This window comes from Homo sapiens, chromosome 12 (genome assembly GCF_000001405.40).
Source record: "Homo sapiens chromosome 12, GRCh38.p14 Primary Assembly".
Lineage (NCBI taxonomy): Eukaryota > Metazoa > Chordata > Mammalia > Primates > Hominidae > Homo > Homo sapiens.
Genome location: NC_000012.12, coordinates 124743589 through 124767279, shown reverse-complemented (window position 1 = coordinate 124767279; position 23691 = coordinate 124743589). Strand labels below are relative to the sequence as shown.

The 23691-nt window shown below is 51.6% G+C and overlaps 8 annotated features.

The window, feature by feature from the left end:
• Window positions 6095–6595: an enhancer, noted in NCBI's record as "H3K4me1 hESC enhancer chr12:125245231-125245731 (GRCh37/hg19 assembly coordinates)". NCBI's record gives its function as "activates a minimal SCP1, AML or CMV promoter by ChIP-STARR-seq in primed H9 embryonic stem cells {active_cell/tissue: H9 hESC(primed)}" and the evidence as "EXISTENCE:reporter gene assay evidence [ECO:0000049][PMID:30033119]".
• Window positions 8180–8679: an enhancer, noted in NCBI's record as "H3K4me1 hESC enhancer chr12:125243147-125243646 (GRCh37/hg19 assembly coordinates)". NCBI's record gives its function as "activates a minimal SCP1, AML or CMV promoter by ChIP-STARR-seq in naive H9 embryonic stem cells {active_cell/tissue: H9 hESC(naive)}" and the evidence as "EXISTENCE:reporter gene assay evidence [ECO:0000049][PMID:30033119]".
• Window positions 8680–9181: an enhancer, noted in NCBI's record as "H3K4me1 hESC enhancer chr12:125242645-125243146 (GRCh37/hg19 assembly coordinates)". NCBI's record gives its function as "activates a minimal SCP1, AML or CMV promoter by ChIP-STARR-seq in primed H9 embryonic stem cells {active_cell/tissue: H9 hESC(primed)}" and the evidence as "EXISTENCE:reporter gene assay evidence [ECO:0000049][PMID:30033119]".
• Window positions 11125–12027: an enhancer, noted in NCBI's record as "NANOG-H3K27ac-H3K4me1 hESC enhancer chr12:125239799-125240701 (GRCh37/hg19 assembly coordinates)". NCBI's record gives its function as "activates a minimal SCP1, AML or CMV promoter by ChIP-STARR-seq in naive and primed H9 embryonic stem cells {active_cell/tissue: H9 hESC(naive and primed)}" and the evidence as "EXISTENCE:reporter gene assay evidence [ECO:0000049][PMID:30033119]".
• Window positions 11666–11755: an enhancer, noted in NCBI's record as "active region_7299". NCBI's record gives its function as "activates an Ori minimal core promoter by ATAC-STARR-seq in GM12878 lymphoblastoid cells {active_cell/tissue: GM12878}" and the evidence as "EXISTENCE:reporter gene assay evidence [ECO:0000049][PMID:35858748]".
• Window positions 16683–17203: an enhancer, noted in NCBI's record as "H3K4me1 hESC enhancer chr12:125234623-125235143 (GRCh37/hg19 assembly coordinates)". NCBI's record gives its function as "activates a minimal SCP1, AML or CMV promoter by ChIP-STARR-seq in naive H9 embryonic stem cells {active_cell/tissue: H9 hESC(naive)}" and the evidence as "EXISTENCE:reporter gene assay evidence [ECO:0000049][PMID:30033119]".
• Window positions 17204–17724: an enhancer, noted in NCBI's record as "H3K4me1 hESC enhancer chr12:125234102-125234622 (GRCh37/hg19 assembly coordinates)". NCBI's record gives its function as "activates a minimal SCP1, AML or CMV promoter by ChIP-STARR-seq in naive H9 embryonic stem cells {active_cell/tissue: H9 hESC(naive)}" and the evidence as "EXISTENCE:reporter gene assay evidence [ECO:0000049][PMID:30033119]".
• Window positions 22299–22348: an enhancer, noted in NCBI's record as "active region_7298". NCBI's record gives its function as "activates an Ori minimal core promoter by ATAC-STARR-seq in GM12878 lymphoblastoid cells {active_cell/tissue: GM12878}" and the evidence as "EXISTENCE:reporter gene assay evidence [ECO:0000049][PMID:35858748]".

The window sequence follows — 23691 nt, the reverse complement described above, 5'->3', positions numbered from 1 at the left end:
TAATGAATAAATGATCTGGGGTGTAGCGAGGCTGGGGATGTGGTTGCGGGAGGGGAGTTCTGCAGACCTGCCCAGGGCCTGCCAGAGGCTGCACGTGCGGATTGTGGCCGCCAGGGGGCGCTGTGGGTCCAGCCTTCAGGGCGGCCCCAGATTCAGGGAGGCCCCAGCAGCCCGGGTCTCTCTGGCGGTCCCAGGGGCTGGGAAACGTCTGTTGTTTGAGGCTCTGGACATAGCAAAGATAAAAAATGAAAAACTGATGAACTAAGGCTGCAAGAACTATGTTCTCTTGTATGTTTACATGTAAAAATTTAACAGCTTCCATACATGAAATAGTCATGCAATATATTTTTGTGAAGTTACAAGGCTTGCAAAATTCTTAATGAACCATGTCCAGAGAGGGCAGGATTTAGAAAGGGGAAATTATCACAGTTCTTTTAATCTTGGTGGTGTGGGGCTCTAGGACAGTACATTCAAGATCTTCTCCAAAATCTGATTTGTGGTGTTTTTGTGAACTCAGAGTCCAGGCCAAATGGCTGGCTGTGGTCTCCCAGGGATGGGCAATCCTGATCCAAACCTCAGATGCCCAGAAGATATAAAATCTCAACACTGGGCCAGGCGCGGTGGCTCACACCCCTAATCCCGGCACTTTGGGAGGCCGGGGTGGGCAGATCACCTGAGGCCAGGGGTTCAAGACCAGCCTGGCCAACATGGTGAAACCTTGTCTCTACTAAAAATACAAAAATTAGCTGGGCATGGTGGTGAGCACCTGTAATCCCAGATACTGGGTAGGCTGAGGCAGGAGAATCACTGGAACCCGGGAGGTGGAGGTTGCAGTGAGCTGAGATTGTGCCACTGCACTCCAGCCTGTGCGACAGAGTGAGACTCTGTCTCAAAAAAAAGAAAAGAAAAGAAAAAAAAAGAAAATCTCAATGCCGGCCACTCCCAGCCCAGTCAGGCAAGCTCAGCTCTGGCATCCTGGCTTGCTCTCCTGGAACAGACTGTTGCTAGCATTCATTGAATCTTTCTGAGTGCCGTGCACTATTTTAAACCCTTGGCATATGCTCACTTAGTTTTCATCATAACCCAGGCGAGTGCTGTTATCATCATCATCTTCATTTTACAGATGAGGAAACTGAGGCACAGAGAGGCGAGGTCATTGTCCAAGGTCTTATGGCTGGAAAGGATCGGAGTCTGGATATGAATATTGGCCACTGGTTGGGGGGCATACATGCTTATCAGCTACTCTGCATACCTCCTCATTGACTGGGAACCAGAGCTTGCTGTGGGTGCTGGCTGAGGCATCCCACTTTATCTTATCCCTTATCCCAAGTGAAACTCAACTTGGGAACCCAGCTTCAAGAAACATAATTTCCAGGCAAAGGCAATGAATGCACACAGGTCCTGGCTCTAGAGCTTCTGAGGAGCCTGGGAGAGGAAAGGAGGTTGCAAGGCTCATTTCCCCCAAATCCAGTCCCAGCTCCATCTAGAAAGAGGCCCCCCGCATACCAAGCATGTGTCCAATCACTCCAGAAAAGCCCCTGGCAGGGGAGCATCCAGGCTCATTCCAGAGAGGTCAAGAATGGGAGGGGAAGAAGAGGAGTAAGAATAAACATGTCTAAAAATAGTGCTTGGATCTCCGAAACCCACAACAAAACAGGAAAGAGAGGGCAGGAGAACTGGGAGGGAGAAGCCTGGAGGTTTGGCTGAGGGAAGAATAAGGTGCACTGCCCTGGTGGGGGCTGTTTCTCTGACTTTCCTCTCTGAAGTCTTGGGAGCTAGGCTGGATGGAGGGTCTGAGCATAAAGGCCAAATATCTCTGGAGTCATGAGTGTTTCCAGATTTCACAACACGTTTGCCATGAAGCCTTAGCCCTAGCAAACTTCATAGCATTTAGAAGTCCTCGACTGAGGCAGAGGGAGGCTTTTAAGAGGGAGCTTTTTTTTTTCTTCCCCCTTTCAGGAACAGATGTTTGAGCAACATTGGCCATGATGCACATGTTTCTGCAAACCAGATCTCACTTACCTCCTCAGCTTCCATTGCAAAATGGGACTTCCACTCCCCTGGGAAAACATCTCTGCAGATGGACTGGAACAACTTGGCATGGAAGGTATTAAGCCTGAGGCTTGTGGTTGGGCCTGCAGTGGTTTCTCAGAACTGTGCAACACCCTTCTGGTCTCTGGGATTTTCCCTCTGCTTCTATGACCAGCCTCATCTGTTCTTTTCTGGGCCACAGGAATTTCTTCCATTTCAGGGAACAGGGACTCTGAGATTAAACACTGGCATCTCTGGTCATGCACTGTGGTGTGCTTGGCCCTGTGGTCTCTCTGTCTGTGGCAGTAACAGCTGTTTGAGGGAAGGACATAGTTTCCTTCATGATGTCAGCCTTGGAGATTAGGCAGATGGCAGGGTTTGGAAGCTAGAGCTGTGTGCTGAAGAAGATTGGATTCACTGTGTCCCTCAGGCAAGTCACTTTGACCCCTCTGTGCCTGTGTCCACTTCTGTCCAACAGGAATTCTAATTCCTGCCCCATCAATTTCAGATTCTCATGAGGATCATTAAGAAAAACATTTTATGCACTTTCAGTTGAAAATAGTTTGGGAAGATTTTCAAATGTGTCATAAAGCACTCTTGGAACAAACCCTAACATCCACGACCCAGTTTAGCTAAGTATTTACAAGGTCTAGTGGAGCTGAGCTGTAATACCACACATCACCAGCAGGTGCCACTGTCAAACACATCATGAGCGTTCTTGCACATGGGAGTAGTGTGGTTATCGTACATTGTGTAAAACTAGTTTTTTTAAATGGAGGGATGCATGTGGATCAGTGGAGGCAAGTTCAAATGCTTACAGAACTGGGCAGGCAGTGTAAATAGGCCCAACAGGCCAGGTGCTTGTTCATTGAGTGGTAGGGTAGTTTGTGCGACTGGCTATAGGGTAAAGGCATGCCCTACCCACAAGCATGGCTAGAGATCAAGGGGGTGGGTGTGGGAACAGCTGATGCCTTACCTCCCCAAAGTGGCACCTGTTCATCACTTTTAAAGGTACACTGTTGGCACCATTATTATTATTATTATTTTGAGAAAGAGTCTCATTCTGTCACCCAGGCTGGAGTGCAGTGTCATGATCTCAGCTCACTGCAACCTCTGCCTCCCAGGTTCAAGCTATTCTTCTTGTGTCTCAGCCTCCCGAGTAGCTAGGATTACTGGTGTGCACCACCACACCTGGCTAATTTTTTGTATTTTTAGTAGAGATGGGATTTCACCATGTTGGCCAGGCTGGTCTCGAACTCCTGGCCTCAATTAATCCACCCACCTTGGCCTCCCAAAGTGTTGGGATTACAGATGTGAGACACCGTGCCCGGCCAACACCATTATTGTTAAGACCATGATGAAAACATGTTAAAGTGTGAAAGTGAGGCGTTAGACCTGTGGTTAAAGACAGTGGCATTCTGTGTGTTGGATTCTGGGGTAATGACACCCCCTCCCTCTGCACTCCGGCCCAGGCTGCCTTCCTGTGATTGCAGAACTGATTACTGCCTCAAGGGAATGCAGACCAATGTTGCCAGATCGTCTATTTTTTTTTAAGAAGAGAATGTGGTTTTTTAAAATGTGAAATCTCCTGAGTTTTAATTATTGGCAACAAATTCCAATTATAATACTATATGGGCCAGCCAAGTGCAGTGGCTCATGCTTGTAATCCCAACACTTTGGGAGGCTGAGGCAGGTGAATTGCTTGAGCCCAGGAGTTCGAGACTGGCCTGGGCAACATGGTGAAACCCTGTCTCTATAAAAAATACAAAAATTAGCAGGGCGTGGTGGTACACACGTGTGGTCCCAGCTACTTGGGAGGCTGAGGCGGGAGGTTGGCTTGAGTCCAGGAGGTCGAGGCTGCAGTGAGCTGAGATTGCGCCAGTGCACTCCAGCCTGGGCAACAAAGCAAGACTATGTCTCAAGAAAAAAAAATACCATGTGGGCCAAATGAAACATGTCTTGGCCAGGACTCAGTCTGTCAGTTTTGAGGTGGTATTTGCCTCTGCCTTTTAGGTGTGTAACTTGAGTCTAAGCGTCTGTGGCTATCCACCTCTTTCTGGAGGTGTGTGGGTGGCTATACCTCATCAGCCTGATTCACTGAATGTGGTGTTTTTTGCATGAGCGGGGCTAAACAGATCCTACTGAAGGGCTTCGAATGATAACAGCTAAGACGCTAGCTTCTAGAGTCATAGAGAACTGGGTTGGAATCCTGGGTTTATGATTCACTAGCTGTGTGACTTTGAGAAAGTCACTTAACCTCTCTGAGCCTCAACTTCCTCATCAGTAAAGATGAGGATAATAAAAACACCACTGTGGTGGCCGTGAGTTCTAACTTTTACCTTCTGGGCACACAGGGGGATAGCACTTCCTGGCCTGCCTGTGGATGGGGGGTTGCGTTTGTGACTCGTTTTGGCTGATGAGCTGACAGCAAAGAATCACTCAGCTCACTTCTTGGGCTGCAGCATTTAGTTGCTGGTTCAGAGTTCTTTCCTTCCACCATGGTGACAGGCAATGTCTGAGACATTGGTGGATGTATTGCCTTGAGTCCCAGAATGAGGACTACATGGAGCAGAGCCCAAGCTGGCTTCTGCAGCGTGAGCAAGAGGCGGACTTTTGTTATTTCAAGCTATGGAGATCTAGGGGATTATTTGTTACTGCAGCATGACCTAGACCTCCCTGACTGACACACCTTCTGCACGGGCAGGGAGGAGTCGATGAAACGATGCATTGAACGGGCTTAGCACAGTGCCTGGCTCATAGCAAGTACTCGGTAAATGGCAGCTTCCTCTTCATTCATTCAGCAGATGGTTATGGAACACATGTTCCTGGCCAGGCTCGGTTCTAGGCACTGGGGAGAGAGGATTGAACAAAACAGACCCAAATCTCTGCTGTCATAGAAATCCCTTCCAGTGACAGAGTAGCTATTCTCTGCCCTCAGCTGCATGCCCAAGGAAAAAGGAGCCGTTCCCTTTGCTCTGGGGCCACAGTGCCTTGAAAGTCAGATCTGCAGATCCCACTGGTGGCAGACAAACCAGGGTGTGGGGAGCCCCTCCCTTTGGAGAAGGCAGCAGACAGACTGTGAGGACTACGGGGTTTCAGGCCAGGTCAACCCAGGCTGCCCACAGTGATGTCAGTGATGGCACCAGGCCAGCACGGACTGCCTGGGGAGTGGGTTGAAAAGAGTTGGTACAAGACACACATGCACGAAGCTGGGGGAGGAAGTCACCACACATCTCTGAACACCTAAAGGTGTAACATTTTCCAGCCAAGCTCTCCACTCTTTGATGCAACAGCCAGGGCTGTGGTTAAAATAGACATTGGGAATTTCTAAAAGGGCGCTCACATTTTCCAAGTGCCTTTTATGTGCTTAGTGCTTGCCTTCTGTTGCGTCTTTCCCTCCATACACAAATTCTTCAAGGAGAAGTTCTCCCCTTGTTACAGATGAGGACACCAAGGCTCAGAGAGGCTGAATGAGCTGTTGAAAGCTGCACAGTGAGGTCATGAGGCCGCTGGGATCCCAACCCAGGTCTCCCCCAGAGCTTGTGAGTGTCCCCTTGGCTGAGCTCTCATGGCATTCTTGAGAACAAGGGGAAAATACACACAAAATACTGGAGGCGTCCTGAGCCCCCTTCCCTTCCAGAGACCATCCCCCAACCCCCACTGGGGCCATCTTTTATTCTTCTTTCTGGTTTGAATGATTTTTTTTTTTTTTTTTGAGATGGAGTCTTGCTGTGTCACCCAGGCTGGAGTGCAGTGGTGCGATCTTGGCTCACTGCAACCACTGCCTCCCAGGTTCAAGTGATTCTCCTGCCTCAGCCTCCCAAGAAGCTGGTATTATAGGCACGCGCCACCACACCCAGCTAATTTTTGTATTTTTAATAGACACAGAGTTTCACCATGTTGGCCAGGATGGTCTTGAACTCCTGATCTCAAGTGAAGGTTTGGATGATTTTTGCCTAGTTGAGGACCTACTGTGTGCTGGGCCCTGCTATACATTCTACCTGCCTTCCCTCGCTTCACGCTCGCAGTGGCCCACAGAGGTGATTGCCAGCCTTACCCCATTATATGGATCAGGCAGCTGATGCACAGAGAGGATCAGCCACTTGCATGGGTCACACAGCCAGGAGGGCTCGATGTGGACTTGAACCTGGGGAGCTGGGCTTCGGTCTGTGCTCCATTGCTCCTGCTGCTTCTTGCAACCATAGGCTGGTGCCCTTCCCCTTCCTGGTGCCTGTGCGGCGCTTGTCCTGCTGCTGGTTATTCTCCCAGAGGCCCCTGCGGTGCCCGCTCCACACTCTCTATGGGGAAGGGGACCCTGTGGACTCCATACGCCTCTGGCGTCAGGCTGGGTAGGAAGCAGAGAGGCTGGAGTATTCAGCCCCTAGAGCCCTCCCTGCTTCTGGGGGTCTGGCTGTGGCTGGTGCCCAGTGACCATGACCGTGGGGCCAGCTCTGTCCCCTTCCCACATCTCAGCCCCTGCTGGGAGGCCCTTCCATGGCTCCCTCTCTCCCCTGCCTGCAGGTGAAATTCCTTTCCGCTGTGGGGGCAGCAGCTCCCTACCGTTCTGGCCCCTGAGCCCCAGCACCTCCCTGACCTTCCTGCCTGTGTGGTCGGTAGTTCCCCTCATGATAGCCTCGAACCATCGGACTTGCGTTGTCTCCCTGCTGGAGGAGCTGTGTGAGCCCAGCCCATCCCTGCAGCAGCCTCCACGGTGGGCATATCAGCCTCAATTACAGGTGAGGAAGCAAAGGCCCAGAGAAGTCAGGTCGTTCACCCAAGGTGACCAGCCTGTGAGCCCAGGCTGCCGTCTGACTCCAAGGCTGAACCCCTCGGTTGCCCTCACCACCATGGCGCCTGGGCACGTGGTCTTCCCGGAGCCTTGGTTTCCTCATCTGTGAAATGAAGAAGAAGGAGAACCTCCTCAAAGCGCTGATGGGAAGATGTTTCCCCTTCTTGGCGTTTAACGGAGCTGGGGCTGGCCTCCTCACTTCCTCCCCTCCCCTGCCAGTCTGGAAAGCATAGTCTTCCATCCCTTTAGCAGAGATCCTCAGATGTTAAAGCCTCATATTTAATATTTACACATCTTCTTCCAAAGCTGACAGCTATCTGGTATGTCTAGACTTTTCTCAACCACGTCAAGGCACCTAACATTCTCCAAATACCCATCAACCACTTCCCTGTGTGGCTGTTTGGACCGGGGCCACTCAGCCTCTGCTCTGCTGGCGCTGGGGCTGTGGGGCCGCCCTGTGTCCTCTAGGGTGTTTACCAGCATCCCTGGCCCGCGAGGTGCCAGGGCCACCCCAACTCCCAGTTATGACAACTCAAAGTGTCTACAGACACTGCCACCTGTGCCATGGGGGGCAGAATTGCCCAGGGTTGAGAAACCCTGGCCTGGAGCTTTTGTTTTTACTGGTCTGTGTTTGGAGCCATGATGATTTTTAAAGCATAAATTCACTTGCCCCTTCTTGTCCCCAGAAGTGTCAGGTTCCCATAAATGTTAGTGCTGACTTTTGGTTGTACTGTGGGTCTCTCTCTTGCTTTCTCTCTTTCTCTCTTTCTTTAAATCGAGATGATACAGTCTTGCTATGTTGCCCAGGCTGGTCTCAAACTCCTGGCCTCAAGAGATCCTCCCACCTTGGCCTTTCAAAGTGTTGGGATTATAGATGTGAGCCACCGCACCTGTCCTCTCTCTGCTGAGTCTCTAAAAGCCACGTCTGCTGTTCCACACGGGATGTCCTTGTTCCTTTCTTGAGCCATCCCAAAGCCTCTGTTTGCCTCGTCCCTGCAGACCCTCTCCTAGAAGCCCGTTCTCTCTGAACTTTGGGGACTGTTTCATCCGCCCTCAAGAACCCAAATGAGTTGCCAAATGGGATTTCCTCCAGGTGGCCCTTCCCTCAACCTCCGTGCCTCTTAACGCAATTAATTTCCTGATTAAAAAAAAATCAATGCCTGTCCCTCTGCACTAAATATTAAACTGTTTTTGCAGGACTGGAGTTGGCAGGCTGTTGATTGGTGGTGGGAGTGAAGTGCCCTCTGATTTGGGGGATGGGGAAGGGCACCCTGGAGACTGGTGGAAGCCCAGCAGATGCCCTGAAATCCTCACCTCCTTGCCACCTCTCTGCCACCCTGCAAGCTTTGTCATTGAGGAGGCAGGACACACAAGGTCCCCAGATATCCATTTGTCTCCCCTCATTTGCAAGTGCTGAATGAAATCGTTCAGCGTCCCCTGACAGGGCAGAATGCAGCAACTCCAAATGAGCTATTTATGGGCCATTTTTTTCAGCATTACTTGCATATTATAATTAAGAGATAATGTCAGTGGAATAGAACATTGTCACCGGGTAATGGTCTCCTGCTGCTTCTGAAATGTCAAGGCAAAGTCACAGCATTTATCAAAAATAAATGTTGGCGGGAAGACGCGACGTTTGTTTTCACAGCAGGGACATCAATCCTGGTTCAACGATATGGCAATGTCTTTATTTCTCTTCTCCGGAGTGATGGATGCCAAGGGATGATCCTGCTTGATGGATGAGGGGTCTCGCCGGTGCGGGGAGGCCAGCTGGGGCAGGGGCGCCGGCTGCCTGACCAGGTGGCGACATGCTGATGGGGTTGGCAGGAGGATTTTGGCTGCCTTCGGCCAGGGCTGGGATCAGCAAATTTGTTTTCCACTGATGCGTTGAAGGTGGCCCCAGGGGCGTCATGGCTCCGGTTGGGCAGGGCATCTTCTGCAGCTGGCGGCCCCGCTGATTGGGTAGGGAGTGGGCTGACAGTTGGCAGAAGTCCTCCTTCCTGCCACTGCGTGAGTCCCTGGGGAGCCGGGCTAATGATGGAGTGGCGTACCCTTGGTCAACCTCCGTTTCTGCATCGCTGCCCAAGAGGGAGCCAGCTTTGGAAAGGGCAGCGGAGACAGCCGGTCGCCTGCTGGCGACTCCTGGTGACGGGGGCATCTGCACTGCAGTGTGGAGGAGGGACCTCGCCTCTCACTGCCCTGCTTAATTGCATGCTCGGCTGACATCTCTTCTGCACTGCTGCCTCAGTGATCTTTCTCAAGTGCAAATCTGCTCATGTAGCTCCCGGCTAAAATCCCCCAGGCCCTCAGAATAAGGTCCCAGCTCTGAAATGGGGGGCACAGGGCCCTGCATGATCCGGCTCCAGCACAAATTTCCCAAAGGCCTTGCAATTCTTCCAAGCAGCCAGGCTGTGACATCCACGCACTCCCCGCCACCCAGCCACGGCATTTATCCTTGTTTTTTCCACCCGGAACTTCTTCTGTTCCTGCCTGGATGCAACCCCCAATCTGTCTTCTCCCCCTTCTTCTTCGGGCCTCTATTTTGATCACTCCTCCTCCGGGAAGACTTCCTTGATCTCTCAAGCCTTGGCTGTGTGCTCTTGCCATAGGCTATGCCTGGGCTCTTCACTTAATCACGTGTAGTGAGCACTTGGGTCTTAATCTTTCTCTCTCTTCTGAGCTGTGGGCTTCACGAAGGCTTTGCTGAAGCTCTATCCCTGGTTACAGAGTGGGTGTTTCACAAGGTTGTGTTGGAACACCTGAATATGCGAGTAAACAGATGGGGCCTTTTATATGAGTTTGTATCAGTTATCTATTGACAAAATAATGCTGCATAACAAATCACCTCAAATATCAGTGACCTCAAACAATAATCATTTATTAGGCTCATGCATCTGCAGGTCAGTGATTGAGGCTGGGCTTGGCTGGGCGGTTCTTCTGTCTCGGCTGGGTGGTTCTTCTGTTTCAGCTGGGCTCGCTTGCATGTCTGGGGGTGGCTGGCTATTGGTTGCTCCAGGGTGGCCTTAGCTGGGATTGCTGGGAGAGCTCTGCTTTGCTCTGCACATCTCTCCTCCAGCTGGCTAGCCTGGGTAGGATCTGAGATGATGGCAGAGGTGGAAGAGTACAAGCAGTTGCTCCAGGCTTTTCAAGGCCCACCTTGGCACTAGCACATTGTTACTTTTATCAGCTGACACCAGTCACAAGGCCATTTCAGATTCAAGGGGTGGGGGAGTAACTTTACCTCTTTGGTGAGAGGAATTGCAAAGCCACACAGCAAAGGGCATGCATACAGGGTGAGGTATAAACTTGGGGCCATCAACACAATCTATCAGGGAGGTTAAGTCAAGTCCTTACAACAGTGCAGTGGGTGTCCAAAAGGTGCCGTCCAAGCATGGCAACTCTTCTGATGGTGACAACAATGATGGTGTTCCGCTTTTTAAAATTGTGGCAAAATACATCTAACATAACATTTACCATCTTAACCATTTTCGAGTGTACAGTTCAGGGGCATTGAGTACATTCACACTGTTGTGCAACAGATCTCCAGAACTTTTTCATCTTGCAGAACTGAAACTCTGTCCCCATTAAACAAGCACTCCCATTTCTCTCTCCCTAGCCCCTGGCAATTGCCATTCTACTTTCTGTCTCTATGAATTTGATGACTCTAGCTACCTCCTCTAAGTGGAATCAAACAGTATTTGTCCTTTTGTGACTGGCTTATTTCACTTAGCATAATGTCCTCAAGGTTCATCCATTGGGTTAGCACATGACAGGGTTTTCTTCCTTTTCCTGGCTGGATAATATTCCATTGTATGGATGGACCACAGTTTGTTTATCCATCCATCTGTCCGTCCGTCCGTCCATCCATCCATCCATCTATCCATCCATCCACAAACCCTTATGTTGCCTCCACCTTTGAGCTCTTGTGAATCAACACATCAGGCTGCTATAAACTTCAGTGTGCATATATTTCTTTGAGATTCTCTTTTCTGTTCTTTCGGATATAAACCGAGAAGTGGAAGCTGAGCATGGTGACTCAGCCTGTAACCCCAGTACTTTGGGAGACAGATGTAGAAGGACTGCTTGAGCCCAGCAGTTTGAGACCAGTCTGGGCAACATCTCGAGACCTTGTCTCCAATAAAAATTTAAAAACTAGCTGGGCGTGGTGGCACATGCCTGTGGTCCCAGCTACTTGGGAGGCAGAAGTGGGAGAATCACTTGAACCCAGGAGGTCGAGGCTGCAGTGAGCCATGATCACGCTGTTGCACTCCAGCCTGGGTGACAGAGTGTGATCCTGTCTCAAATAAATAAATAAATAAATAAAACCCAGAAGTGGGTTTGCTGGATCTTAGATGGTGTGGCTTTTCGGCTTGCAGGAAAGGCCTGTGGAACACAAATGCCGATCCATGGGTTAACAGAGCAGCTGTTTACGGGGCAGATCTGAGGTCAGGTTGCCTGGTTTGGACCCCAGATCCTCTGCTTCCTGATTATGCTTCCTCCGTGAAGCCACCCACTCTGAGCCTCAGTTTCCTCCTCTGTGCAATGGGCGTGATACTAAGACCTATCCGTAGAGTGTGAGGACTAAACGGGTAAGGTGCTTACAACAGTGCCTGATGCATAGCCAGCTCTCAACACACAATACCCACATGTTGTTTTCCGGTGATCAGTGCCTTTGACACCGCCTTAGCCCCCCTGGAATGAAAGCACTGTAGTTGATGGCCGGCTGGCAGCAGTGTTCTTCTTCACTGTGGGAATACACCCAGAGTTTATCTCCTCCGGGCAAACCACAGGGACGACTGGGTTCATATTTGGTTACAGGTGCTGACACCACATCCCCTCTGCTGGGGTGTCTGGCCGGGGCCTTCGAGGGGTTGGAGCTGGTGCTAAGTTGGCGTTTAGCAGGGTGGGAGGGATGCTCCTTCTGCCGCTGTTCAGCTCTCTCTTTCCTAGGCCTGCTCTTCCCCCTCCACCCCTCCGCACAGATTGCAATTTCGGCCGCGGCAGGAAGAGAGGAATGAGCTTGCATAATAGAGGAACATTTGGTTCTTTCAGGCTGGGCCTGGAGAGGGGGAAGGCTTTTGTGCTGAAGTGTGCACCACGGGGGCAGACTCGAGAGGTTTCCTGTGTGCTGGGGCTGGGAGGAGCTTTGTGCATGGGAGGGATGGCCGCACTGAGGTCCAGATGGACGTGGGGGTGGGGACCGCTCCCCCAGGGAAGGGCAGATGGGGAGGGTGACTTTGCTGCTTCTCAGAGATGGGAAGCAGGGCAAGAGGAAAACCGCATAGGGCAGGGATGGGAGGCCCAGGCAGGGCTGGGCCTCGGGCGCCCTGGGCCATGCACATGGCCCCAGCAGACTGTTCTCTCCCCAGGGCCTTTTGGGCCACTTCCTGCACACCCCAGAGAGGTCTGTGGCCTCAGCATGGAGTTAAACCTGTGCCTTCCTGATCCAAGGGGATGGTTTTGAGCTGTGAGGGGGCCTCTCCAGGACCACTGAGTCAGAGGAGAGAGAGATGGGTGTGCAAACACGGCCAGTGCCAGCAGGTCTCTCCCCAGATGTGACAACCCTCACCCGAACCGGACCCCTGGCACTGCTGATCATCAGGGTCAGAGATGGGACATTCATTCCCACTGGATATTTAAAAGCCAGAGCAGGGGTCTGCACCGTGAGTCTTTGAGGGGCTTCCATAACTTCCAATGCCATGTCTGGGTCTCTGACCTGGCTCAATCCTCACAGCAGAGGGAGGCCAGGGGCAGCTAGCCAGGCTTTCCACAAGGATTTGCTGTGCATTGACTCTGTCCTGGGCCCCGTTCTAGATGCTGGGATACAGCCGTGAACAAAGCAGACAGAGATCCAGGTGCTCCGAGGTTTATTCTAGTGGAGAAGGAGGTGGACACGGATCAAGTCAACATCAAGGCACAGACAATGGCATTGTGGGGGTACACAGCCAGCCTCAATTCCTCACCACCCCCCACATCTGTGCCCTTTACCGGGTGGCAAAGAAGTAGAGTGCATTTCCCCACCTCTTGACTTTAGGTCTGGCCATGTGACTTGCTTTGGCCATAAGAAGGCAATGGAAATGAGGCTGTGCTAGTATTGGCCCTATCCCTTCAGGGACCTTGTATTATGCTGTGCCTCTGTCACTGGGTGAGACAAACAGGCCCTGGGTTAACTTGCTGATCCAAAGAGGAAGAGAGACAGGTGGGCAGCCCAGCCCAGCCTGGATCAGGTGACTCCCAGCCAACTGGCAGACACGGAAATGATAATGAGTGATTGCAGGTGGGAATCTTTTGTTACGCAGCATGTCGGCAGCAATAGCTAACTGATATAATCAGCTACTGCTAAGTGCTGTTATTAATGCCTTTTTATAGGCAAGAAAACTGAGACCTGCAGAGGTGAAGAAGCTGTCTTGAAGTTAGAGATGGCTGCGCCCAGACAAGAAGCCAGCTGTGCTAACTCCAGGTGGATTGTTCATTCATCCAGCCCATTTTTACCAAGCACCTACCATGTGCCTGTAATTGTGCTAGAAACTGAGGTAATTCAACGGAAAAGTTCCTTCTGTGAGCAACCTGTTAGAAGAGAGAACTCCTTTTTTCCTAGAGTTTCAGCAGAAGTCTGAGGTTTGGGTCCCATCAGCCTGGTGTGGGTCACCTGCCTGCTCTGAGCTAGTCATGGCTGCAAAAGAATGTGAAGCTCTGATTGACCAGGGTAGGTCACGTGTTCATGCTCCTCCCTGTAACTGGGAGAAGGGATGACCCCATCGGAACCAGACAGACTGAGAGCGGAGGAGAGATGGTTTTCCCAGAGAAAAAGGGGTGCTATTAAACCCCAAGAAGGGGAAATAGGTGCTGGGCCGATAAAAAAGAACAATGTATACTCCAGAGCTCCGGGGCCCTAATAAAGACCCCTGCAGCTCTCTGCTCCTTAGTGAATCCCCCCAAGGTCCAGGGCTGCTCCAACCCCCAAGGTCCAGGGCTGTGCCAACCTCCCCTGCCTCCGACACTCCTCGTGGGCGCTCTGCCTGGCTCTCGGAAGATCAGATGTGATTTATTCCTGGCATCTGTGCCGCCGCTTGCCGTGAGGTGCTTTGCAGCAGAACAATAAGTTACAGGGCCATTTATCTTGTTGGCGGCTTCGGATAAAATGAGCAGTCTGTGCAGACAGGGCCTTTAACGAACATGATCAGGGCTGTTCATTTAGAAACCAGGAGGCCTTGACATTGGCTTTAATTGAAGTGGTTAGCAGTAAGGGGCTTGGCTGGGTTTGTTCAGAATGGAGGGTTGCAGCAAAGGGCAGACCTGTCTTTGAGTCTTGTCTGTGCCTCTACTCTGTGTTTGACTTTGGGTAACCTTGGTGATCTCTTCCACACTTTGTTTCCTCACCTGTGAAACGGAGATGTATCAGTCAGTATCGGCTCAGTTGTGTTGCAGTAACAAACAACTCCAAAATCTCATGGTTTTCTAACAACCAACGTTTGTCTCTCACCCGTGCTATGTGTCTGCTGTGTGTTGGCAATGGGCTCTGTGCCATGTCTTCTCACTCTGGGATGCAGAGGGGGCCTCTGCCATGTGGAGCATCATCGGGCTTGAGGCAGGCTGTGCACTGCTTCTTAGAGCTTCTTCTTAGATGCAACTTACATCACTTCTGCTGACATCTCATTGGCCCAGGCAAGCCACACGGCCATGCCTGACTTCTGGTGGGGGACGGGCATAGAGATGAGAAATCCTGCCTGTGACTGTTAGCAGGAAAGCTGGAGAATTATTATTTATTAGAGAGAGCAGTTCTGCTGAGCCATCGTAGAGTCAGGGTTTTTTTTTTTTTTTCCTTGTCCCTCCTGGGGCTGCTAATCATCTGAGCCGAATCCATTCTGTTTTTCGCTGCCAGATTAATCATTTTCCTTGTGCCTCTGCCACATCACTCCATCTGCTGTGAACTTGAGTGCCTGCTGCAGGGCATTGAAGCTGGTCAGCCTGGCACTCAAAGAACCCCTGGGCTGGCACCTCTCAAGATAGTCAAAGCTGAGTCAGAGAGGGCAGAGACTAGGTATTTCTCACTCCCCACTTCGTCTCCAGCTTCCAGAACTGGCATACAGTAGGTGCTCAGTAATTATTTGGTGCCTGGCATACAGTAGGTGCTCAGTAATTATTTGGTGCCTGGCATACAGTAGGTGCTCGGTAATTATTTGTGGCAACTATGAAATGACTTGCCCAAGCCCACATGCCAGGTTGTAAGCCAGACAGGGCTCACGGCAAAGTGCTCACTATTGACAAGGCTCAGTGCAGCCGCCCCGCGGCCACGGTGTTTTCTGGCAGTCGGCGCTCGCTGTGCCCCAGGCCTCAGGAGCCGGCTGTCTTGTATGCATCAGTCCCTGGGGGTCCTTCAAACCACCCCCCAAGGAAGGCACTGTGGTAAGCAGGTTCTTTACTGAGATAGTCATCTGTGTTTATTCACCCTGTGATTTCCCTCCCTCAATTCCAAGGCAACATCCAGCCCTTTCCTCGATATTTGTTTTTCTGGGCAGAGATGAGAAGCCTCTGGAAGATAGTCCATCTATACTGGCCTTTTGTGAAAACTCGATGTATTAGTCAGGGTATAGATTCAGCTGCTGTAACAAAGAAACTCCAGGCTGGGCACGGTGGCTCATGTCTGTAATCTCAGTGCTTTGGGAGGTTGAGGTAGGAGGATCACTAGAGGCCAGGAGTTTGAAACCAGCCTGGGCAACATAGTGAGACCCTGTCTCTACAAAAAATACAAAAAAAATTTAGCTGGACGTGGGCATGGTGGCACACACCAGCAGTCCCAGCTACTTGGGAGGCTGAGGCAGGAGGTCAAGGTGGCAGTGAGCTATGATAGAGCCATTGAACTCCAGCCTGGGCGACAGAGCAAGACCTTGTCTCAAAAACAAACAAAACAAAACAAAAAGAGAGAGAGAAAGAAGAGAAACTCCAATGCAACATTGGCTAAAGCAAGAGAGAAGCTTGTTTCTCTCTACTGTAAGAGGGCTGACGGAGGCGGGCCGTCAGGACGGCCAGGAGCTTTGCCTTACAGTAATTGGGGCCCAGCCCCTTCCATCCTGTCGTCCATCCCGCCTGGATATGGTCCTCATGGCGTGGTTGAAGCAGTGTTAAAACCAGACCCACATTCCAGCTCTCAGAAAGGGGGAGAGGGAGAAGCCCGTGAAGCAGGTGTGGACACTTCCATTCACATTCCAGCAGAAGCAAGGGAAGGGGGAGCGAGGTCTCCGGGTCTCAGGCTTTGTGGCCGTGTGCCCAGCCAGTTTTACTCCCACAGAACAGGAGAACTACACGTTGGTCACACCTGAGCTTGCGAGGAAAGCTGTTGCTGGTTCTGGAGGGAAATGGAGAGAGGGAGCGAGATTTTCGTGTGCTGGGAGCAGGTAGTGAGGCAGGCCTGGTGACCTGGTTCTGCCGCAATGCTCTGGAGGTGAGGGGTCTAGAATTTGTGTCCTGCACCAGGAAGAGGGCGCCCTAAGCCAAGAGTTCCAGGACAGACAAGGCCCGCCCCCTTCACCCCAGAAAGGACCACTTCACAGTCCCCATTCCCCATCCCAGGTCTCTCCAGGGTGCCCAGGGGAACCAGTGACTGGAGGGACCTCATGGACATTTGGTCTTTGATCCGACCCAGCATGGAGGAGCCCCAATCCTGAGACTGAATCTTCCTTCATCCTGGGAGGATGGGGTTTGGAATCAGCCCCCAGTCAATTGGAAAGAAATAAAAATCAGTTATATCTTGCAGATCGGGGTTTGCGGCCTGACATGTATGCATGTTGCCTTGATATCCCTCTTATATTAAGTGAGGAGACTGGAGCTCAGAGAGGTCAGGTCACTGCCCTGTGGTCACAGAGCAAGTTCACAGTAAAACTGGCATCGGGAACCAGGTTGGCGGTTTGTAGACCCGCATACACTGTGGCTATGCTATTCCTCTCTGCTGGGAACCAGGTTGGCGGTTTGCAGACCCGCATACGCTGTGGCTGTGCTATTCCTCTCTGCTGGGAACCAGGTTGGTGGTTTGCAGACCCCGCATGCACTGTGGCTGTGCTTTTCCTCTCTGCTGGGAACCAGGTTGGCGGCTTGCAGACCTGCATGCGCTGTAGCTGTGCTTTTCCTCTCTGTGTGGGTGTGCAGGCACTTTTTGAAGTTTGGACACAGGGCAGGCAGGAGGCATTGGGGTGGTGGACGGTTCTGTGTACCTGAGGGCATAGGTGGCTGGGATTTGTTATGTAGGCTTGCCAGGGGTTCCAGAAATTTCAGCAGGCCACATTCTGGGAAACCTGTTGGAGGCTCTTGGTTACTTTCTAAACAAGTGTTTACCACTGGGCTGGGCTGGAAGCGGCTGGTGAATTATTCAAAGGCCATTGCCGGGGGGGATGTCCGTGGCTTCTGCCAAGCCCCCTCCCCGCCCCGCTGCCTGCAGTGTGCCTGTTTGGGGAACCGTCTCTCAGGCTCCAAGGGGAGTGACGGGAGTGAGCTGTAGGATGAGTGGCCAAGAGCTTAAGGCTGTTCTGCCACTTTTGGGCCAGGCCAGTTAATCCCCCTCTCTGAGTCTCAGTTTCCTCATCTCTAAAATGGACCCAAGAATACTAGTGCAGGGACAATTACATGAGAAAATAGGTCGCTATCTAGCCCAGTGCCGGGTGCAAGTAGCAAGTACTCAACATAATGCCAACATTTTCCAGTAAAGTGGAGCTTTCCTGTTCTTGAAGACTCAGTAATTTTTCTCTTTGGTGTGCGCCAAGGCAGAATTCTTGAACGTGCGTCCCAGGCGACATGACTAAGAATGTGTGCAGCAGCAGCATCTTCAAGCCTCAAAAGGAAACCCAGGCAGGCGCGGTGGCTCACGCCTGTGATCCCAGCATTTCAGGAGGCTTAGGTGGGAGGATCACTTGAGCTTAGGAGTACAACATCACCCTGGGCAACATGTCGAGACCCCATCTATACAAAAATTACACAAGTTAGCTGGGCATGGTGGTGTGTGCCTGTGGTCTCAGCTACACAGGAGCCTGAGGCAACAGGATCACCTGAGCCCAGGAGGCAGAGGCTGCAGTGAGCTGAGATCATACCACTGCTCTCCAGCCTGGGTGATGGGAGTGAAATCCTGTCCAAAAAAAAAAAAAAAAAAAAAAAGGGCCGGGAGCAGTGGTGCACACCTGCAATCCCAGCACTTAGAAGAGGCTGAGGTGGGTGGATCACCTGAGGTCAGGAGTTTGAGACCAGCCTGACTAACATGGTGAAACCCCCATCTCTACTAAAAAAAAAAAAAAAAAAAAAAAATTTAGTTGAGCGTGGTGGTGCATGCCTGTAATCCCAGCTACTTGGGGGCTGAGGCGGGAGAATCGCTTGAATCTGGGAGGCCGAGGTTGCAGTGAGCTGAGATCACACCATTGCACCCCAACCTGGGCAACAAGAGTGAAACACCATCTCAAAAAAAAAAAGCACAAACGAAACCCTGTTCCATGCGCAGTCACCCCCTGTTCCTTTCTCCCCCGGCCCCTGGCAAACACCAACCTACTGTACAGCTCTACGGGTCCGCCTGGTCTGGGCTTTCCATAGAAATGGGACCGGACACTGTGTGGCCTTCGGTGTCTGGCGTCTTTCACTCTGCATCATGTTTCGAGGTTTGTCCACTTTGTAGCGTGTCAGTGCTGAATCTGTTTTGTGGCTGGTCATATTCCATTGCATGGACAGACCATGTGTGGTTTATGGAGTCGTCAGCGGGTGGACTTTCGGGCTGTTTTCACTTCTTGGCTCCTGTGAATAACGCTGCTATGCACATTTGTGTACAAGTTCTTGCGCGGACGTGCGTCTTCGCGTCTCTTGGGACTACGGACATTGGAGGCCAGTGCACCCCTCGTGATGGGGCCCGTCCTGTGGGTTGTGGGACGTTTCGCAGCATACCTGGAGCCACAGCACCCTCTCCACCAGTTGTGACAGCCAAAAATGTCTCCAGACACTACCAAAGTGCCCGGAGTCAATCTCACTTCAGGTAAAATCAAGACTCATCTGTGGAGAGTTAAAAAACAAAACCTAAAACCTAGTCACAGAAGACCACATACACCATGACCCTTGTGTTAGGAGGTTTAAAAACAACTATGACTCGATAATCAATTCTTTTTTTTTTTGTTTGAAAGTCTCACTCTGTCACCCAGGCTGGAGTGCAGTGGCGTCATCTCGGCTCACTGCAATCTCTGCCTCCCGGGTTCAAGCAATTCTCCTGCCTCAACCTCCTGAGTAGCTGGGATTACAGGCGTGCATCACCACACCCAGCTAATTTTTGTATTTTTAGTAGAGACGGGATTTCACCATGTTGGTCAGGCTGGTCTCAAACTCCTGACCTCAAGTGATCCTCCCGCCTTGGCCTCCCACAGAGTTGGGATTACAGGTGTGAGCCACCTCGCCCGGCCTGATAATACATTCTTTAGGGTGAGCTTCTCGAAGTGTGTGGTCCCAGAGCTGCAGCAGCAAAAGCTCCTGGAAACGTGTTGGCAATGCACATTCTCGGGCTCTCCTCCAGACTTGTTGAGTTGGATGCTCTGGGCTGGGCCACAGTCTCCCAAGTGACTGAGCACACTGTCGTGTGAGAAGCACCGGTTTAGGCACAAACATGCTCATGCCCAAAGCCCACAGTGAGGACAAAATACGTGTTTATTTAAATCGAGGAGTGGGGCTTACTTCTGGGGAGAGTCTGGGGGCAGATGTGTCCCTGCCTATGTTCTGTTCTTGCATTGGGGGTAGCTTCATGAGTGTCCATTATATTGTGAAACAAATTCAAAACCACAAAAAGAAATGAAGAAATAAACCCATAAAACAAAACAGGTCAGGCTTCACCAACCATGGGAGTGAGTCACAAGACAATGATTAATCCGATTTTATGCACCTGAGGTCATGAAAGAACTCATGTGGACCATTACTACCATGTGCAGGTTTATTCATCAAGAGGGGAGTGAGGGCCCCGCTGCTGTCCACAAATAAGCTGTGGCCTCTGCTGTCTGTTGCCTCCGCTTTTCTCAGACGCCTCTGCCTCTGGGAATTAGGGGTAGTTGCTAAGATCTATTGAACAGTTGCTGTGTGCCAAGTCTGTTAGCTTAAGCTCTCACGCTGGTGCCTCTGAAGTCCCCTTTTACAGATGTGGAGACTGAGTCTGGGAGGTTCAGTGATTGCCCAAGGTGTGGAGGGGCTTGGGGTTGGAGCCCCAGGTGCACATCTGTCCACACAGGCCCTTTGCGGGGCTGAAGCAGGATTACTCTGAACATCCAAGTCAAGGCCACCCCGGGATTTCATCCAACAACGAAAGCCAAGTTCAAGGTGTCTTGGTTTCTTCTGAAATTGCCCTAACCTTACCTGTTAAAGGCCTGGCTGACTTGTGCTGTTCTTTTTCTTGAAGAAGTCCCCAAAAGATGAAATCACAAAGTCCAGAGCGGTGAAGACATTGCCCAAGACCCACAGCAGAGGCAGGATTCAAACCTGGCTCCCCTCCTCCAGGAAGTCCTCCAAGCCTGCTGCAGTTCCCCAACTCCCACAGAACTCAGGGGCTTAGGGACATGTCAGCAGAGCCTGTTTGCTTTCTAACCCAACACTACGGGTCGCCAGCCCCTCATAGGCAGAGCTCAGACCTTTGACTTTTCTGTATGTTCCTCCTCTCACCTCTCTGATCCTCTCCTGTCAGGTCAGTGTGAGCTGGGCGCACATGAGGCATCCAACAGGCCCTTTGCGTGTGAGTGGGCAGTGCAGTGAGGCAGCCTGCGGCTCAGGCATGGGGCCCCCTGAGCATTTACCCTTGTCTCCCCCACTTCAAATTGTTCGGGAACAGAGACACCCAACTCTGCGAATTACACTGAAACCAGGAAGGTCCCACTCACTCCCTAAAAGAATAAATCAAATGACAGCTAACAGCGACCAAACCCTTTCTATGTGCTCTGCACTCTGCCTGGAGGAGTATGTTTAACACGCAAGAGGGCCTCTCTATCATTACTATCCTCCCCATTTTAGAGAAGGAAACAGGCACAGAGAGGCTGAGTGACTGGCTCAAGGTCACACAGCTAAAAAGAGAGGGAGCCAGGATGTGAGTCCTCCTTGGGGTGGAAAGCCTCCAGCGAGGGCTGTGGTTTTGGCTTCCCATGGGGGAGGCTGGGGAACGAGGCCAGGAGGCCCCTGAGGCTGATTCTGGGTCTCTGTCACGTGGTTTCTCTTGGGTCAGCCAGCGGGGGTGGGCAGCTCTGAATGCAGGCTCAGCCCAGGCCAAGGAATGTCGCAGCGGCTGTGGCTCAGCGGGCCAGCCAGAGCGGAGGCTGGGGGAGGGAGTGGCGTCTTGGCAGCCGTGACAAATAGAAAACAGATTGTGTTTCCCTTTGCTTCCACCCCCAGCCGGGGGAGGGGATGTGCCGGAACCCAATTACCCACTTACAATGGATGCTCTATTGTGGAACGGGAGGCAAGGTCGGGGCAGGGGGAGCAGGCCCTGCCCGGGGCGCGGTGTCCCTGGCACGGCCCCGTTGCTCGCCCGCCCTGGCTGACCTCCCTTCCTCCTGACTCTGCTGCCAGCCCCGCCGCCCCCTCTCCTAGCTCACAAAGACCCAGCGCCCTTTCCAAAACTGGGTCTTCCTTCCAGGCAGCCTTGATTCTCGCTGTGGAGCCGCAAGGACTGTGGATCCTTGTCTGAGCACTAAAGTCCAGCAAAGGTTTCTGTCATTCCTTCCTTCCTTCATTCATTCTTTCACTCATTCATTCCTCCCCCACCAGCCCCCTAATCTCTCTCCTCTCTCTATCTTGTTAATGATCTGGAAATATTTGAGCATCCAGGCAGCTTGGTTCCCATCGAGATCCACTCATTGATTCACTAAATATTTACTAAGCACCCACTATGTGCAGGCACTAAGAATCTGTTCATTTACCACTGTTTGTGGAGTACCTACTGTGCGTGAGGCCCTAGACAGACTTGCATTCACTTAGCAGGTATTTGTGGAGCATCCACAGAGATACATGTTTGTCCAGTATTTGTGGAGCGCGTACTATACGCCAGGGAGTCATTCATTCATTTACCAAGCGTTGGGGGGGGCACCTACTACGCTCTGGGTGTTGGGGTGCCACAGTGAACAGGACAGACATGGTCTCTGCCCTCAGGCATCTTATGGTCCAGTGGGCAGGGGCAGACTCTTAACAACAATTTGATGTGCTGTGCATTTATTGCACACCAACTGTGTGCAGGCTTCTTGGAGGGCAGGATTAGAGATGCACGCTGGTCAATGTGAACAGCCTGAGCATGAATCAGACCTAGATTGGGACTGGGGTGCCGACTGCATCACCAAAGAAGGAGACTGACTTCACCTCCAAGACCTCAGTTTACTCAGCTGTAAAATGGGTGGTGGTGAGACTTAGCCAAGGGGCCTGGGAAATAGGAGTTTGCTTCTGTTGGGGACAGCTGTTGCTTTTACCAACTCAGCATCTGTTCCTCCTGGTAATGGCGCCCCGGATCTCGTTGAGGAAAACAGCTTTCTTCTTTTCTCTCATCATCTGTAGTTCAGGTGGGGCTGACCCCGCCTCCCTGGCTCCTGGAGGAGCACATGACCAAGGCTTGGCCAATCAGGTCATCCCATCCTCTGACAGCAGTCATTGGTCCAAAGGAGGGTCACATGATGTAGTCGGGTATCAGTGAGATTCTTACCTTAGGACGGGAGAGCCTGCCTGAGAATAAAACCAACCCAGAGGGCCAGGCGTGGTGTCTCATGCTTGTAATCTCAGCACTTTGGGAGGCCAAGGTGGGCAGATCACCTGAGGTCAGGAGTTCGAGACCCTGTCTCTACCAAAAAATACAAGGGAGGCTGAGGCAGGAGAATTGCTTGAACCCGGAAGGCAGAGGTTGCAGTGAGCCAAGACTATGCCAATGCACTCTAGCCTGGGCAACAAAAGCGAGACTCCATCTAAAAAAACCCAAAACAACAACAACAACAACACCCAGAGGAATGGAGAGAATGAGTCCTGGTGGTGCCATTGTGAGCCCCTGGATCCAGCTGTGCCTGAAACTCACCCAACCCCTGGACTTTTCAGTAACATGAGCCGATAAACTCTCTCCGTCGCTTCAGCCACTTTGAATTGGGAATTTTGTCACTTGAAGCCAGGAGCCCTGACTGACAAATAGGCCTTTTCTCTCCCCTTATTTCATAAAACACCACGCGTGGAACAAGCAAAATTAATGCCCCTGCTTCCTAAACAGCCGATGAGCAATGGCTAATGGTAGAGGCTGGGCAATGACTCCTTTCTCTTTGGTGCATGAGGACATCCATTCTCTGGCCGGCCCCTGACCTCGCCTCACTGAGCTGGAGCAGAAATCACTTAACCTTCCAGGCCTCGGCGTTTAGAGGTTTGTGATGGATGGTGCTTGGCCTCGTGGGCAGAAATGGAAAATTCTCGGCCGTCTGATCTGTCCCTTCTTTCTGCTTTTCACGGCTGGCCCAGGCAGGAGTCAGTGGCGGGATTCGGAGATGGCAAGCGTGCTCTGTCAAGGGCCAGATAGTCAATATTCTAGGCTTTGTGCGTCATGAGGCCTCTGTTGTGCATTCTTTGTTATTTTTTGTTTTGTTTGTAAAAACTCCTTAAAAATGTAAAGAATGACCAGGTGCGGTGGCTCATGCCTGTCATCCCATTGCTTTGGGAGGCCTATGCAGGAGGATCACTTGAGGCCAGGAGTTTGAGACCATCCTGGGCAACGTAGTGAGACCCAGTGTTTAAAAAAAAATTAGCCGGGTGTGGTGGCATGCACTTGTAGACCCAGCTACTCGGGAGGCTGAGGTGGGAGGATTGCTTGAGCCCAGGAGTTCAAGGCTGCAGTGAGCTGTGATTGGGCCACTGCACTCCAGCCT